General features: G+C 35.5%; 1 protein-coding gene across 2 annotated transcripts in view, besides 2 other annotated features; it reads right to left on the bottom strand.

Moving 5' to 3' along the window:
• The window catches only part of ATG4C (autophagy related 4C cysteine peptidase), an 81385-nt gene that overhangs the window by 46998 nt on the left and 16665 nt on the right, over positions 1-17722 (bottom strand). For both annotated transcript variants that reach the window (NM_032852.4, NM_178221.3), the window contains exons 2-4: positions 14657-14800; positions 13264-13347; positions 1711-1944 (exon numbers count right to left, since the gene is read on the bottom strand). In NM_032852.4, the coding sequence (NP_116241.2) occupies positions 1711-1944; positions 13264-13347; positions 14657-14732 (394 nt within the window). In that variant the 5' untranslated portion in view covers positions 14733-14800. The remainder of the gene's footprint in view (positions 1-1710; positions 1945-13263; positions 13348-14656; positions 14801-17722) is intronic.
• Positions 9616-9675: an enhancer, noted in NCBI's record as "active region_1123". NCBI's record gives its function as "activates an Ori minimal core promoter by ATAC-STARR-seq in GM12878 lymphoblastoid cells {active_cell/tissue: GM12878}" and the evidence as "EXISTENCE:reporter gene assay evidence [ECO:0000049][PMID:35858748]".
• Positions 17629-17678: an enhancer, noted in NCBI's record as "active region_1122". NCBI's record gives its function as "activates an Ori minimal core promoter by ATAC-STARR-seq in GM12878 lymphoblastoid cells {active_cell/tissue: GM12878}" and the evidence as "EXISTENCE:reporter gene assay evidence [ECO:0000049][PMID:35858748]".

The raw sequence follows: 17722 nt of genomic DNA, 5'->3' as shown, positions 1-17722 counted from the left end.
AAAAAATAGTAACCTTGGGTAAAAATGGACAATCCCAGATGTTCTTTTTTCTCTTCTTTGACAGTGCTGAGATAAAGACTTTTGTATTTCATTATCAGACTGCTTATCAAACATCCAGTCTTGACTACCCAAAGGCACAATAAACATATTTACTAACATTTATGATACTCATAAGAAGATATCTTCAGAAAGTGGATGTTTTGATTATATGTTAAAATAGAAGTCTGACCATGGAAGTTTTAAATTTTTTTCAAAATATTTTCCTGTACGTTTCTTCAGAATAACTTAATCATTATTAACAGAGTAATAACAATTCTCTAATAGTTAATAAATGAAATCATAAAAGATCAAAGACCTTGAAAAATCAAATATATCCATTATGTCACTGTTTTGAATAACAAGACAATCCCCAAACATGCATGTAATTTTAAGTTAACAAAATAAGTCATAGATTCAGAGATCTAGTGAGGACTGAAAAATATTCCAATCCTTGCCCATGACTGCACAAGACTATAAATAAATCATCCCAGAAAACCAGTTTAAAAATTATTTTCCTTACATTTTCAACACCATTCTTCAATAAACATTCTCTCTAAATAATCTCATCAATAATCTCTACAAAAAAGTTACTAAATATATGCCATGCATTGTAGGGATACTGTCTTAACACTTATAAAAATCTGACAATATTTAATAATCAAATATGATATCTTAAAATTGTAAACTAAAATATTCTTACAAATGTACACATTATTAAAAATGGACTAACACAAAGGTGGCACATTAGGAAAAACATATATATGTAAGTTAAGTATCAATGACATTTTTTAGGGTCTAAAACTGCATGATTACCTTATTAGGAATATGTCTAGTGCCAGGCACAGTGGCTCACACCTGTAATCCCAATATTTTGGCAGGACAAGGTGGGAGCATCACTTGAGCCTAGGAGTTCAAGACTAGCCTGGGCAACATAGTGAGACCACATCTCTACAAAAAAATTTAAAAATTAGCTAACCATGGTGGCACGCACCTGTGGTCCCAGCTACTCAGGAAGCTGAGGCAGGAGAATAGCTTGAGCACAGGAGTTCGAAGTTGCAATGAGCTATGATTACATCACTGCACTCTAGCCTGAGCAACAGAGTGAGACCCTATTGCTAAAAAAAGTTTTTAATTTGAAAGAGTATGTCTAATTGATTTAATATAATTGAGTATAATCACACTAATAAAGATAAAAATACTTTTAAACCATTATTGACATGTAGGGAGAAAATAAAGAAACCAGAGTAAAGTCTCTTAAAATTTTAAAAATATTACATATGTCCTCAAAATCACTGTTACTAACCTGCCCAGGACTTAACTAAACTGGAGATAATCCAGAGTTCAACCAAAAGGAAAGAAACAGTAAGAACAATAAAATCCAAAGGGTACTAAAAATTGAACTAACTTAACTCATAATGGTGACCAAGAATAACAGGTATATTTAACCTGCATTTTTGAAAAGGGAATCAGGGAAGTTTACATATAAGTCATATCTGACCCAGTTCAAAAAAAATGCAATACACCAAATTAGTTACAACTCCTTAGAAAATCTCACAGTCAAGAAATTAACCTCAGGGAATTTCATGCAGTTTGTAAGCTGGAATTCAAATGGAAAAATATCGACGACAAAAAAACAAAACAAAACAAAACAAAAACAGAAATTTGATTTACCTCTACCAAGAAAGTGTAGTATGAGTCCTTGAGCCAAGAGCATCTGGCCAGTTCTCAATGTGCAGCCCCACCCACAGTCTGTTGTCAAAGCTGAGCCTTCTATTTGAGGGAATTCTTCCCTGTAGGTCAGCCATATTCTAGAAATGAAATCTTTACGAAATTCTTCTACATTTCCTGCAATTACGTGATCCTCTATTGTACATCCCGACTCTGCAGGTAACGTTTTATCTTCATCTAAAAAATAAACATACGGTCTAAAGATAACCAGAGAAATGTCTATAATGGTAACAAACATTATCATTACTGTCTTAAGATGTGAAGTATGTCACAATCTTTCCAATCCTTTTTTTCTAATTTTATCTTTTAAAATAAAGATATGAAAATCAAGTTAGATTTTCCTGACTGCCTATGAAAATCAAGTTAGAATGAATGCTGAAATGTTTTACATACTGTAGAGTTAACTAATATAAGGTATTATCAACAATACTCTTGTTATTAATAATAATATCCTATATTCTATACATAATTAACTCTTTGAAGAGGGGACACAGACAAGGACGATATTAGATTTCTCACTGGAAACAAAAGAAGAAGATAGTGCAGCAACATCTTCAAAGTAGTGAAGAAAAAAAATCATTAACTCAGAATCCTATATGCAGCAAAAACACCTTTCAAAAATAAAGGCAAAATAAAGACGTTTTCAGATACACAAAAGCTGGAAGAAGACATCACTAGCCAACCTGCATTAAAAGAAACCTTAGCCAGGCATGGTGGCTCACATCTATAATCCCCAGCACTTTGGGAGGCTAAAACAGGAAGATTCTGGCTGGGCGCGGTGGCTCACGCCTGTAATCTCAGCACTTTGGGAGGCTGAGCCAGATGGATCACTTGAGGTCAGGAGTTCAAGACCAGCCTGGACAACATGGTGAAACCCCATCTCTACTAAAAATACAAAAATTAACCAGGCATGGTGGCAGGCACCTGTAGTCCCAGCTACTCGAGAGGCTGAGGCAAGGGAATCGTTTGAACTCAGGAGGCAGAGGTTGCAGTGAGCCAAGATCGTGCCACTGCACTACAGCCTGGGCAACATAGTGAGATCCTCATTTCTAAAAATAAATAAAAATTAACCAGGTGCGGTGCAGATACTTGCGAGGCTGAAGTGTGAGGATGAGGATCACTGGAGCCAGGAGGTTGAGGCTGCATTGAGCCATGATTAAACCACTGGTCCAGATGGAAATACAGATTCACACAAAGGAATGAAGAACACCAAACATGATACCTTCTTTGAAGGATATTTGACTATTTAAACCAAAATAATAGTAATTTACTATGGGGTGGATAACATATTAAGTAAGATGTGTGGGGTGTATAACATATAAATAAGTAAAATGTATGACAACAATATCATAAAGACCAAGAGGGAGAAGGTGAAGTATACTGTAAGGCTCTTGGTATATCACTTGAAGGCAGACTGTGATAAGTCAGAGATGTATACTATAAACCTTAAACCACTAAAATAACAATAAAAAGTTATAGCTAATAAGACAACAAAAGAGATAAAAGAGAATGATAAAAATACTCAATCCAAAAGCAGGTAGAAAGGGAGGAAAAGAAAACAAAAAAAAAAGATTTAACAAATAGAAAGCAAATAATGACATGATACATTTAAACCTAGCTTTATCAATAATCATATTAAAAGTAAACGGTTTAAACACATTTATTTATTTATTTATTTTTAGTTTTTGAGAAAGAGTCTCGTTCTGTCACCCAGGCTGGAGTGCAGTGGTGCAATCTTGACTTACTGCAATCTCTGCCTCCAGGGTTAAAGCGATTCTTGTGCCTCAGCCTCCTGAGTAGCTGGGATTGCACGCATGCACCACAACGCCAGGCTAATTTTTGTATTTTTAGTTGAGACGAGGTGTCTCCATGTTGGCCAAGCTGTTCTCAAACACCCGGCCTCAAGTAATCCACTTGCCTTGGACTCCCAAAGTGTTGGGATTATAGGCGTGAGAGCCACCGTGCCTGGCCCTAAACACCTTAATTTAAAAGGCAAAGATTATCAGATTGGATAAAAAAGCAAGACTCAGCTAGTACTTCCTATAAGAAACATATTCTAAATGTAAAGACACAAATAGATTAAGTGTAAAGGATGAAAAAAGATATACCATGCAACTTTAAGCAAAAGAAAGCTGAAGTGGCTATATTTTTTATTATTATTATACTTTAAGTTCAGGAATAAATGTGCAAAACATGCAGGTTTGTTACATAGGTATACACATGCCATGGGGTTTGCTGCATCCATCAACCTGTCATTGACATTAGGTATTTCTCCTAATGCTATCCCTCCCCTAGTCCCCCACCCACTGACAGGCCCTGGTGTGTGATGTTCCCCTCCCAGTCTCCATGTATTCTCATTGTTCAACTCCCACTTATGAGTGAGAACATGCAGTGTTTGGTTTTCTGTTCCTGTGTTAGTCTGCTGAGAAGGATGGTTTCCAGCTTCATCCATGTCCCTGCAAAGGACATGAACTTATCATTTGTTATGGCTGCATAGTATTCCATGGTGTATATGTGCCACATTTTCTTTATCCAGTCTATCACTGATGGGCATTTGGGTTGGTTCCAAGTCTTTGCTATTGTGAATAGTGCCGCAATAAACATACATGTGCATGTGTCTTTATAGTAGAATGATTTATAATCCTTTGGGTATATACCTAGTAATAGGAGTGCTGGGTCAAATGATATTTCTGGTTCTAGATCTTTGAGGAATCGCCACACTGTCTTCCACAATGGTTGAACTCCCTTTAAACTCCCACCAACAGTGTAAAAACGTTCCTATTTCTCCACATCCTCTCCAGCATCTGTTGTTTCCTGACTTTTTAATGATCACCATTCTAACTGGCGTGAGATGGTATCTCATTGTGGTTTTGATTGCATTTCTCTAATGACCAGTGATAATGAGCTTTTTCCATATATTTGTTGGCTGCATAAATGTCTTCTTTTGAGAAGTGTCTATTCACATCCTTCACCCACTTTTTGATGGGATTGTTTTTTTCTTGTAAATTTGTTTAAGTTCCTTGTAGATTCTGGATATTAGTCCTTTGTCAGATGGAGAGATTGCAAAAATTTTCTCCCATTCTATAGGTTGCCTATTTACTCTGATGATAGTTTCTTTTGCTGTGCAGAAGCTCTTTAGTTTAATTAGATCCCATCTGTCAATTTTGGCTTTTGTTGCCATTGCTTTTGGTGTTTTAGACATGAAGTCCTTGCCCATGCCTATGTCCTGAATGGTATTGCCTAGGTTTTCTTCTAGGGTTTTCATGGTTTTAGGTCTTAGTTTAAGTCTTTAATCCACCTTGAGTTAATTTTTGTATAAGGTGTAAGAAAGGGTTCCAGTTTCAGTTTTCTGCATATGGCTAGCCAGTTTTCCCAGCACCATTTATTAAATAGGGAATCCATTCCCCATTTCTTGTTTTTGTCAGGTCTGTCAAGGATCAGATGGTTGTAGATGTGTGGTGCTATTTCTGAGGCCTCTGTTCTGTTCCATTGGTCTATATATCTGTTTTGGTTACTGTAGCCCTGTAGTATAGTTTGAAGTCAGGTAGTGTGATGCCTCCAGCTTTGTTCTTTTTGCTTAGGATTGTCTTGGCTACGCGAGCTCTTTTTTGGTTCCATATGAACTTTAAGGTAGTTTTTTCCAATTCTGTGAAGAAAGTGAATGGTAGCTTGATGGGGATAGCATTGAATCTATAAATTACTTTGGGCAGTATGGCCATTTTCATGATATTGATTCTTCCTATCCATGAGCATGGAATGTTTTTCCATTTGTTTGTGTCCTCTTTTATTCCCTTGAGCAGCGGTTTGTAGTTCTCCTTGAAGAGGTCCTTCACATCCCTTGTAAGTTGGATTCCTAAGTATTTTATTCTCTTCGTGGCAATTGTGAATGGGAGTTCACTCATGATTTGGCTCTCTGTTTGTCTATCACTGGTATATAGGAATGCTTGCGATTTTTGCACATTGATTTTGTATTCTGAGACTTTGCTGAAATTGCTTATCAGCATAAGGAGATTTTGGGCTGAGACAACAGGGTTTTCTAAATATACAATCATGTCATCTGCAAAAAGAGATAATTTGACTTCCTCTCTTCCTATTTGAATACCCTTTATTGCTTTCTCTTGCCTGATTTCCCTGGCCAGAACTTCCAATACTATGTTGAAGAGGAGTGGTGAGATAGGGCATCCTTGTCTTGTGCCAGTTTTCAAAGGGAATGCTTCCAGCTTTTGCCCATTCAGTATGGGCAAAATATGGGTTTGTCATAAATAGCTCTTATTATTTTGAGATACATTCCATCAATACCTAGTTTATTAAGAGATTTTACCATGAAGCAGTTTTGAATTTTATCGAAGGCCTTTTCTGCATCTATTGAGATAATCATGTGGTTTTTGTCATTAGTTCTGTTTACGTGATGGATTACATTTATTGATTTGTGTATGTTGAACCAGCCTTGCATCCCAGGGATGAAGCCGACGTGATCGTGGTGCATAAGCTTTTTGATGTGCTGCTGGATTTGGTTTGCCAGTATTTTATTGAGGATTTTCGCATCAATGTTGATCAGGGATATTGGCCTGAAATTTTCTTTTTTTGTTGTGTTGTCTGTGAAGTGGCTATATTAATATCAGACAAAATCGACTTCAGACCAAAGAATATCACCAAGAATAAAGAAGGTCATTTCATAACTACTAAGGAGTCAATTCATTAAGAAACAATAATAAATAATTCTAAATGTTTATGTACCTAACAACAGAGCTTCAAAATACAGTTAGTCCTCACTTAATGTTGTCAATAGGTTCCCAGAAACTGTGACTTTAAGCAAAATGATGTATAATAAAATCAATTTTTTTCTCATCATTGTTATAATGAAATGAAGTTGAACAAAAGGATGTTGAGGACCCACTGTACATGGTTTCACTTAAAGTTGCAGTTTCCAAGAACTATCTATGACGTTAAGTAGGAATTACTATAAAGGAAGCAAAAACTGATAGAACTTCAGGAAGAAACAGACAAATCCACAACGATAGATGTTAAATCATTTTGGTCCCTGAGATACAATGGGTATATCAGAGATAACCCTAAATTCTAATTTTTAATTAATGGCTCTTAGGCCCATCATGTCCTGGTCATCTAAGAGAAACCCTGAAAAAATGCTAGCCAGGTGATAGCATGCAATCTGTGGAAAGATGAGGCTTATTAAAAATAAAATAAATTCTTAATTGTTTTCTTTATAGACAGCTCACAGACAAATTGTAAGAAATTTTTTTTACTTTCGGTATTCGGTCTAGATACTACTAGGAGGGCCATTTGGATTTATATACTATATACCTCGACATAACAGTGCACAGCACGATATAATGAGAAGGAAAAACTGCATAATACAAGGAAATAAGTTTGTAGCTCAGAAAGGTAGGAAGATAAGTTTAAAAGCTTGATAAATCAGGACAGATTCAGCATTGTTAAAATAATCTAATTTTTGCAACCATGTTCTAATATTACTAGAAATTAAATAATAGAGACAGAACCAAGTTTAAGAATCTTGTATTAAATTCTTATGAATAAATTCATTGTAGATGACTTGGAGGGTAGTAGTGATATAAAATCACTGTGGCTGAAAGCCGCTACCTTCTAAGCACTTAGACTTGTGAGATATCAGAATGTCAATGCCTTCAAATAGAAAGGGAACTGAAACAAATGAACGAAACTCTCCATCAGATAAATGCCACAGAAAATGAGAGATGAGTGACTCCAGCTAAAGTAATTTCACTAAAATCCTTAGCAAAACAAAAGTAACTATTAAAAAATTTCTCTATGATAGAAAATTAGATATTAAAGAATCAAGAATTTAAGTAGGAATATGATCCAGTTAGAAATAGATTTCAAATATTAATTTGAATTCATGCCTTTATAAGAAAAACACTGAAAACATGTATCTGTTCTAGCTTGTCCACTGAAATGGCCTGGGTCAATATCATCCCCACAAAGCACCTTTGCACTCAGATTATGGTCTCTAACACTTTTTCTTCTAAAGAAAAAAAAAAAAAAACAAGGACTCAATGGGAAATTGCTAGCTTCCTATCTGATACTGAAAAGTACAAAGTGGGTCTGAACACGTGGTTTGGAAGAAAACAAGATGTTTCGTAAGATTTATGTGGTTTTGTTGAAAGATACAGAAGCAAATCTCAAAGGACCTTCCACTGGCCAATGTCACGACAATTTGAGCATCAAAAGATAATTGGTTGAGATCAACCAACATACAGTAAATGTGAAAAGCCGTAAGTCTGTAATGACAAAAAGAAAATGTTAGCATTAAAATATCTTAAATGAGGTGAAGAGAATATTATATTTCTGTTGAGGCAACAAAGAAAGTCTTGACCAAGGCAGAGCAGTAACCTCTAGACATGTGTTAAGAACTAGAAATTCACCAAAGTGAATATTTTTCTAATTATTTAATGTCTCTCATCTGTTGGACTGTAAGTTTCTTGAGAGTAAAGACTGTATATTTCATACTTTCAGCAGTAACCCCAGTGCCTGGCACATAGTAACCTCTCAATAAATAATTGTGGAATGAATGAATAACTTTATTCATCTAATCCTCTTCTTGTGAATACTTGTTTCCAACTTTTTATTAAAGCTACAATGAAATTCTTGTACATGTGTTTTCCACACATATGGAGAACTTCTCTGTAAATACTTAAGCGTCTTAGAAATGTTGGGTCGTAAGTTAAACATATTCTCTATTTTTCTAGGTACTCTCAAATTTCTCACAAACAGGTTAGACCAATTTACCCTCCCACCAACAGTGTTTCAGTTCCTATTTCTTCATACCCTTGCTAACACTTGATATCATCGAACCTTCAAATTTGTGTATATTATATCTGATAAGTAAGAACAGTATCTCATTTTATTTTGCATTCCCTTCATTACCAGGATATGCATTTTCTTGTATTTGGCCATTCAAGTTTCTAATTAAACAGCACCTCTTCACCATCTTGGCTCATTTTTCTTGGGTTGTTCAAGTTTTTCATATTCATTGCATATTCATTTGTGGTTCTTTATTATTTTGGAGACTAATCTTTCCTGATACATCTTCACACATGCACATATATATACATATATGTATATATAGATACATTATATATAAAATATATAATTATATAAATTACATTAGTATATTATATATTATTAAATATTATATATTACATTAAGTGATATATAATTATACATTATAATTATATAATTATAATTGTAGACTATATATTATATACACTATATATGTCTATATGTATTTATATATACATGTGTACATATACATATGTATTTTTAAATATATGTGTGTTTATATACACATATGTATATAAACATATATACATTTACTATAATGTACATATATTTATTATATATGTATATTTATACATATTTGTATAAATATCATGTGGATATTTTTAATTTTATCTGGTCAAACTGATTAATATTTCCCTTTTATAGACCGTGTTTTACAGTTTATACAAGTTCTTCTTGGCTGGCACGGTGGCTCAAGCTTGTAATCCTAGCCCTTTGGGAGGCCAAGACAGGAGGACCACTTGAGCCAAGGAGTTCGAGACAACCCTGGACAACATAGGGAGACCCTGTCTCTACAAAAAATAAAAATAAAAAATTAACTGGGCGTGGTGGCACACACCTGTGGTCCCAGCTACTTGGGAGACTGAGACGGGAAGATCATTTGAGCCCAGGGAGGTCAAGGCTGCAGTGAGCCGTGATTGGGACACTGTTGCACTCCAGCCTGGGTAACAGAGCAAGACACTGCCTCAGAATCTAAAAAATAAGTTTTTCTCTACTCCAATATCATAACCATTCATTCTATAAAACAATGCAATTTAGTTTTAGCACATATCATGTAGCCACAGCAAATAGCACATATCACAGCGTCAGTAAATGTAGACTAGCTGCTGTTAATATGACTGCTTTTACTTTCTATTCGTACCACTCTAGTAAAAATGCTCTCTCAAAAGTCATTAGTAATTTCTCATTGCCAGACCCTACACCCTCTACTCAGGCTATTTCCTGCTCTATCTCTTTTAAGCATTTATACACTTTGTACAACCCCCTTTTTCTACAAATGTCTTTCCTTTGGTTTCTACAGGTATACTATTATGAATTTTGTGCTATACATTGCCTTTCCTTTCTCAGTTTAATTCACTGATCCTTCTTCTTCAGTATATCCTTAAAGATAGATATTTTCCACCTATACTTTCCATCAATGTGATCTTATCTATTGGCCTTAAATGCCACCTTGCCCACCTTGCTGGAAAAAAAAAAAATCAATATGTCTATCCTTCACTTCCACACAGCCTACCTCAAATAACACATACCCGAATTTAAATTACCTTTCCCCTAAAATTCAGGCTTCCTCTAGTGTACCACTTTTGGTTACCAACACTATCATCCAAGATGGAGATATTTAAATCTTTGTTTCCTCTCTGTCTCTGAAGACCCCAAATCCAATCATCTGCCAGATGCTGTTGATCCTACCTTAAAATATCTCAAATCCATCCTCTCTTTTCCAGATGCACTGCCCTGTATCAAAGTCATCATGTCCTGTCTACTGACTTTCAATTCTTTTACATTACCATCAGTTATCTTTCTAAAGCATGAAATGGAAAAACACTTCCTTTTAGTCTACGTTCAACACTTCACTACTGACACCAAATGTGTGAAGGTTTTTCCCACACCAACTGATTTTCCAACTCTCCAGACACCAACCGGGAATCCTATACTTCAATCATGAACTAACTACCTGAAGTTAGCACAGACCCCACAGGGTAAGGACTGTCCCATAAGATCAATCTCCACTTCAGATGCCAATCATCAAAGTAGGTTCCAGATTACCCATACTTCCGTCCAACTTGGCTACAAATCAGTGGTTCCCACTATCCCCTCCTCAGGTTTGGTAATTTGCTGTGATGACTCACAGAACTCAAGGAAACACTTGGTTATATTTCGCCATTTATTATAAAGGATATCATAAAGAATACAGATGAAAAGGTACACAGAGAAAGGTCTAGAAGGGTCCCAAGCACAGGAGCTTCTGCTCCCGTGAAGTTGTCAGGAGTTGAAGGAGTGTGTTACCCTCCCAGGAGGTGGATGTGTTCACCAATCCAGAAGCTCTACATATCCCGTATTTCAGGGATTCTTATGGAGGCTTCATCACATAGGCATGATAAATTATCAACTCAATCTCCTCTTCCCTTGCCCAGAGGATTGGGAATGGGGCTGAAAGTTCCATTCTAATCTTGGCTTGGTCTTTCTGGTGACAAGATGCCATCCAGAAACCCACAGAGTCACCTCATTAGAACAAAAGATGCATTCTAATCACCCAGGAAATTCCAAGGGATTTAGGAGCTCCATATGAGACACTCCCATCACCTCCATCACTCAGCAAATTGTTAAGAGTTTTACCAACTGTGTTAGGAACTGGGATCAAAGACCAAACATAAGAACAAAAGACGTTCCTAGCACCCCTACCGCTCAGGATATTATAAGAGTTTTAGGAGCTCTGAGTCAGGAACAGGGGGCAGAAACTAATATATATAATTCCTATGATTTCACAAGCATATATTCAGTTATTATTTTGATGTGCTCCTTCTGGGCATGATCAATGTCCTAGCCAGCATGTTTTCAACAAATGATTACTAAAAATAATTAAATGAAATTTTTCATTTCATTGCTCAAAAATAATCATTGTAATTAAGAAGCCAGCTGGGTACCCCATCTCCTACCTCTCTGAAAACTTAGTAAAGTTGTTTGAACCAAAAATGATATGACATGTAGAAGGCAAAGCTAGCCCTAAGGTTTCTGCTAATTCTTCACAGCTTAAGGTTTCATGGTCCTATGTGCTTCTAGCTCTTGCAATGATAATGTGTTGTTTTTTTCATCCCAGATGCCAAATTTCACCTTTTTCCAGAAAAAATCCTCTTACATCAAGTATTTCATGAGCTTAACTGACTTTACTGAAGATCAGGGACAATAACAAGGAAACCTCTCAATGGACATACAGCCTCCGGCTGCCTTTCTGGCTCTCTCTCTTTTCTTATCCCCTCCTCCCACACCTTTCTCCTTTCCTATATCCCCAATCCTACTCCAGAAAAGAAGTCTTCTATTTCCCTCATTCATAGCTTCTTTATCATTTACTTTTCATCGCTTGATTTTTCAAAGTATTTCTTCCAAAAAATATATATATATAATTCTATCCTAAGAATAATTCTAATAAGTTTTTAATTTTTGAAATCACAAATAATATCACTTAAAATGCTTATATGTATCAGACATATATATATAAATCCATACGCTCAACCATACGTATTGCTGTGGTTGTCCTCTGCCCAAAAAAAAAAATGACCTAACTCTTTAGCACAGCACTCAAGATCTTCCTCTGTAATTTGGTCCTTTTCAGAATTATCTCCACCATAGCTAAACTGGACACCTCTCTGTCTCCTAAATATGCCCTTTATTAACTCACTGCTATTGCTTTCATCATGCCATTCTATTTACCTAAAATGCATTCCTTCTTTATCAAATTCCTACTTATCCTTCAAGACTGTTGTAAGGACTCAACAGTTAATACATGTAAATTATTTAGAATACTGCTTGGCACATTATAAATGCTCAATAAATGTCAGCTGTTATTACTACAAGCCATTTACAGGTTTTAGAAAATTGCTAATAAATGATATACCAAAATAGGTCAACCAAAAATGAAAAGCCATGATAACAACATACTGTAACACATATTCACTCTCTCTCGTTCTCACACACAAAACACAAAACCAAGCAAGGATGTATATTTAAAAGAATGCCAGTATTAGAGACACAGTCTTGGTTTAAATTTCAGCTCTGCCATTTAATACCCATGTGACTTTGGACAAATTATTTAACTTCTCAAATTTCCTGCCTTCACATTCACAAGATGAGAATACCTGAATCTACCTTGTAGGTTTCTTGTGAGAATTAAAGATATTTCCTAAAGAGCCCAGCATGGTGCCCGGCACCCAATGAGTGACATGAATTATTAAAAGAAAATATAAGAAAATTTTTGAAAGAATTAATATACGTAGAAATTCAAAACCATCAAGTAAAGTCAATTTCAGATACTGAAACATCCTTAAGAATTAAAAAAATTATCATTTTTAGATTAACTAAGGTGATACTTTTAATTATCAGAGAATGTGACAAACAATATTAACATATCAATTCAAATAATATTTACTTAGTACTCATACTATAAGTCCAAAATTATGGGGATATAACAAAAGATGACAAGGTCCTTATCCTCAACTAGTTAACAAGAAACCCAAACAACATAGTAATATATTATGAGCTATAAGAAATACAAATACTTAAAAGAAATACTGCAAAAGTAGATTAATCTAGAAATAAAATAATAAAAAGTTACATGATGATTTCTACAAAAATTTTTAAATGGTTTACAAATTTTGTACTTACCTTCATATTTAAAATGGTAACATTTTCCAAGCAATAATACAGGAGAATTTCTACTAAAATACGTCTTTGTTTTCAACACCCAACCTAGCAAAAAAAAAAAAAAGAAAAGAAAACGTTTTGTAATTAAAAGATTTCAGACTAAAAGTCTAGCAGCGTTTTCTTTTATTTAATTTCAAACCATCAATTATTATTTATGGATGTGCATTTTTGGCAACAGTTGCAAAATACAATATTTGAACAATGAACTGGAAATAAAGGCAATTTATGCTAGTTTCAAATAAAGTTAAGAATTTTAAACACACTTTAAAAACTATCCAATTAAAGGACATAAGAAAGAAAAAATTTTAATTTTAATTTATTTTCAGATATCTCATAACGGTCTTTATCAAGTTCTCACAATGTTCTTATGGTACATAATTTAAACTGCCAATTGTGTTTTTCCTGAATTTGCATTATCAAGGGGTTTTACTGAATTCTGTTTTCACACTTATTTTATGAATATGAGCTTTTTTCCTGTTGAAGCTGGTTCTGCCCAAGTACTTCTCCATCTTAGGTGGGCTTCAAAAATAGCCATATACTCCTTATTAGATTTGTTTGCAAATCAAAAGGAACTAGGTTAAAAATAATATCTAGGAGAAAAATCAGAGGTATCAGTGCACGAACTTTACAGTCTATTTTGTGTGGGAAGAGGCCTATTTTGCTTATTTCCTGGCACAGAGATGAGGCTGCCTGAAATTGTATCTGAAAAGCCAAGGTATTATCATCACCTGAATAAATTCTATATGTTTTAGAACGCTAAAAAAAAAAAATTATGCAAGACATGAGGATATTAATATACTCTAGCAACTTAAAAAAAAAGGAAAAAAGGCCAGGCCCAGTGGCTCACGCCTGTAATCCCAGCACTTTGGGAGGCCAAGGTGGGCGGATCACGAGGTCAAGAGTTCAAGACCAGCCTGACCAACATGGTGAAACCCAATCTCTACTAAAAATACAAAAAAAAAATTAGCCAGGTGTGGTAGTGCGCACCTGTAGTCCCAGCTACTCAGGAGGCTGAGGCAGAAGAATCACTTGAACCTGGGAGGCAGAGGTTGCAGTGAGCTGAGATTGCACCACTACACTCCAGCCTGTGTGACAGAGCGAGACTAAGTCTCAAAAAAAAAAAAAAAGAAAAAAGGAGACCACATCGTATGCTTGAGTTTCTAGGCAATGTTTATGATGATACTTGGCTCTTTCTTCAGGAGATATTTTTAACTACATTCCTTATAGAAATATTTCATTCAAAGTAAAGTATGCCATTTATTCTCAAGAAATTGTCAGTGACTTAAGAGGGGAAATGATAAATATTGTCAAATATTTCTTTGGATTTATACAATTTTTAAAACATGATACTTACTATATTTCATGTTGTTCCAAGCAGATATAAATTTGGTTTTTAGCTTGTCAACTTCATCTGTTCCTGTAGCCTCCATATTCAAATTCTAAAGGAAAAGCCATCACTTGATTGCATTCTTCTGTAGAGTTTAATCTTTTATACTGACTTTAAAAATTAAGGAAAAAAATCAGTAATTACTACATATATGGTTACATGGAGCAATACCTGTTAAAGTTACTTAAGTGATTAAATACAGTTTGAACTGCAAATGAACAAAACAATTTCTCTTTTTATACTCAGAAATAAACAGAAAACCAATTTCTCATTTTACAAACAGAAATCTTATAGAATAAGATATTCTATATTTTAATTACAAAAAACCTTTACTAACAAATATACAACAATAAACCTATCATGCAAAACCAAGCAATAATCTCCCCCAACTGCTCACAATTGAATACAATAAATCAATTTAGTAACACAGCTCTGCTCTGGTGCATTGGCGCAAGTGAGAATATCCAAGATTTGTTTTATCTGTCATTAGAGAAGGTGATTTGAAATCTTATAAAAAATCTTGACTATCTTCAGAATGGAAGCTTCCACTTATATTGATTAGTCACTACTTTCACATCACATAAAGTCTAATTATTTTGTTTTGTTTTTTAAATAAGACATTTCCTATGTTTCCTTCCTATCTCCATACTGCAGCACTTAAACAAACAGAACGGCTTAAATTTATAACGGAAAATGTTCTTACTTTAAAATAGAATAAATGTAGCTCATAAGTGTCTGTTTTATTACTGACTTTAGGGAAAATTGAGATGTGTGATATAATCTCAAAAGGAACAAATTATAACTGAAAATGCTTGTGCTTATTTGCAATAATTCACAGTTTACTTTTCAAGAAAAGAATGCTGCACAGAACATTACCCTTTTAAGATTAGAAATATCTACTCAAAAATATTGATACATTCATTTCTCTAACAATAGACATTCCATTTTATAATATGTATTAAAAGTTACCAATTATACATCATAGTTCTGAGCCAGGAGAAAGCATGGTCTATTGGAAGAACTTAAAAAGTCAATGTGACTAGAAAACAGAAAAGTCTAAAAAAGTGGCATGAGATGTCTAAAAAAGTGGCATGAGATGAGGCTATAGGGTTATATAGATGCCAAAGCACAAACGGCCTTGTAGACCAGGTTAAAAATTTTGTTCTTTATCCTAAGAGCAATTTGTTTCAAACAGGAATATCATAACCAGATTCAGTAGGTTTGTTTGTTTTACTTCAATAGCAGCATGGAGAAGAACATGGAAAGGAATAAAAGTAGATAATGAGTTTACCACTACAGGTTGAGTATCCCTTATCCAAAATGCTTGGGACTGGAAGTGTTTGGATTTCTTTTTTTTTTTTTTTAATATTTGCATTATGTATACTTACTAGTTGAGGATCGTTAATCCGAAAATCCAAAATCCAAAATGCTCCAATGAGCATTTCCTTTGAGCATCATGTTGGCACTCAAGAGGTTACAGATCCTGGAAAATTTCAGATTTCTGATTTTCGGATTAAGGATGCTCAACCTGTATTATACAGGACTAGGAGATGATAGCTTGGACTGGAGCAGTGAAGATGGAGAAATGGACATCTGAGGAAACATGTAGAAAATTCAGTAAGTCTTGGTGATACAATGGATATGGAAGGTAAAGAACAGGGATATGCCAAAGATATACCCAGGCTTTGGTGTGTGAAACTAAACAGATGGTGCCAATCACTGAGATAGGAAACATCAGGAGAGGGAGAGGTTAGAGGGAGAAGATTATGAATTTGATTTGAGATATGTGGTATTTAAGATGTCTCTGAGAAACACAAGCAGAGAGTAGTTCTTTTCTTTTTTTCTTTTTTTTTTTTTTTTTTTTTTTTTTTGGAGACAGAGTCTTGCTCTGTCCCCCAAGCTGGAGTGCAGTGGCGCAATCTCAGCTCACTGCAAGCTCCGCCTCCCCGGTTCATGCCATTCTCCTGCCTCAGCCTCCCGAGTAACTGGGACTCCAGGCGCCTGCCACCACATCCGGCTAATTTTTTGTACTTTTAGTAGAGACGGGTTTTCACCGTGTTAGCCAGGATGGTCTCCATCTCCTGACCTCGTGATCCGCCCGCCTCGGCCTCCCAAAGTGCTGGGATTACAGGCGTGAGCCACTGCGCCGGCCTTCTTTTTTATTTTTTTTTTAAGATGGAGTCTCGCTCTGTCTCCCAGGCTGGAGTACAGTGGCAACATCTCGGCTCACTGCAATCTCCGCCTCCCAGCAGGCTGGTCTTGAACTCCTGACCTCGTGATCCACCCACCTTGGTCTCCCAAAGTGCTGGGATTACAGGCGCGAGCCACCACGCCCTGCCATTCTTTTCTTTAATCATTAGATAAATTATTGCCAGGCACTGTTCTAGGCACTGCAGGTACAGCTGAGAACAAAGGCAATGAAATACCTGTTCTCTTGGAATTTACACTCTAGATATATTCTCGGGATGTCAATCAACTAGGCAGTTGGATATATAGATCTGGAGCTCAAAGGAGAGGTCTGGGCTAGGCATATTAATTTGAGAACTGCTGACGCATAAACGAGAATGAAAGCTATAAACACATTCCTCAAGGACTCTGTTTTTTTTGTTTATACCCCTAGCACTTGGCATAGTTCCTGGTACTTAAGGATGATATTTAAGGCCCTTCATGAAATAACCTCTGCCTACTTACTCAGCTTCCTCTTTTACTACTTCACATGCAGCATATGCTGAAACCACATTTAATATTAATATCAAAGCTTCCTGAACTTGGTATGTTATCTGGTACCTCATGCCTTTGCATCTGTTCCCTCTAACTCAAGTGCCTTACTGCTCACCCTCACTGTATGATGACCTTACTATCATGGAGTCCCTGAAACCCAGCTTTGGTTTCACTTCCTCTGGTAAGACTGGTAAGATTTCCTGACTGCCCTCTCTAAACTTTAAACTAAGATAGGTATCCTTCTCTTAGTTCTCATAGGATCCTACGTTTTCCTGTATCACCACATTCATTGCACTATACTGTAACTGACTG

This window comes from Homo sapiens, chromosome 1, assembly GCF_000001405.40.
Source record: "Homo sapiens chromosome 1, GRCh38.p14 Primary Assembly".
Lineage (NCBI taxonomy): Eukaryota > Metazoa > Chordata > Mammalia > Primates > Hominidae > Homo > Homo sapiens.
The sequence above is the reverse complement of the archived record's forward strand: the minus strand, read 5'-3'. Positions and strand labels throughout refer to the sequence as shown.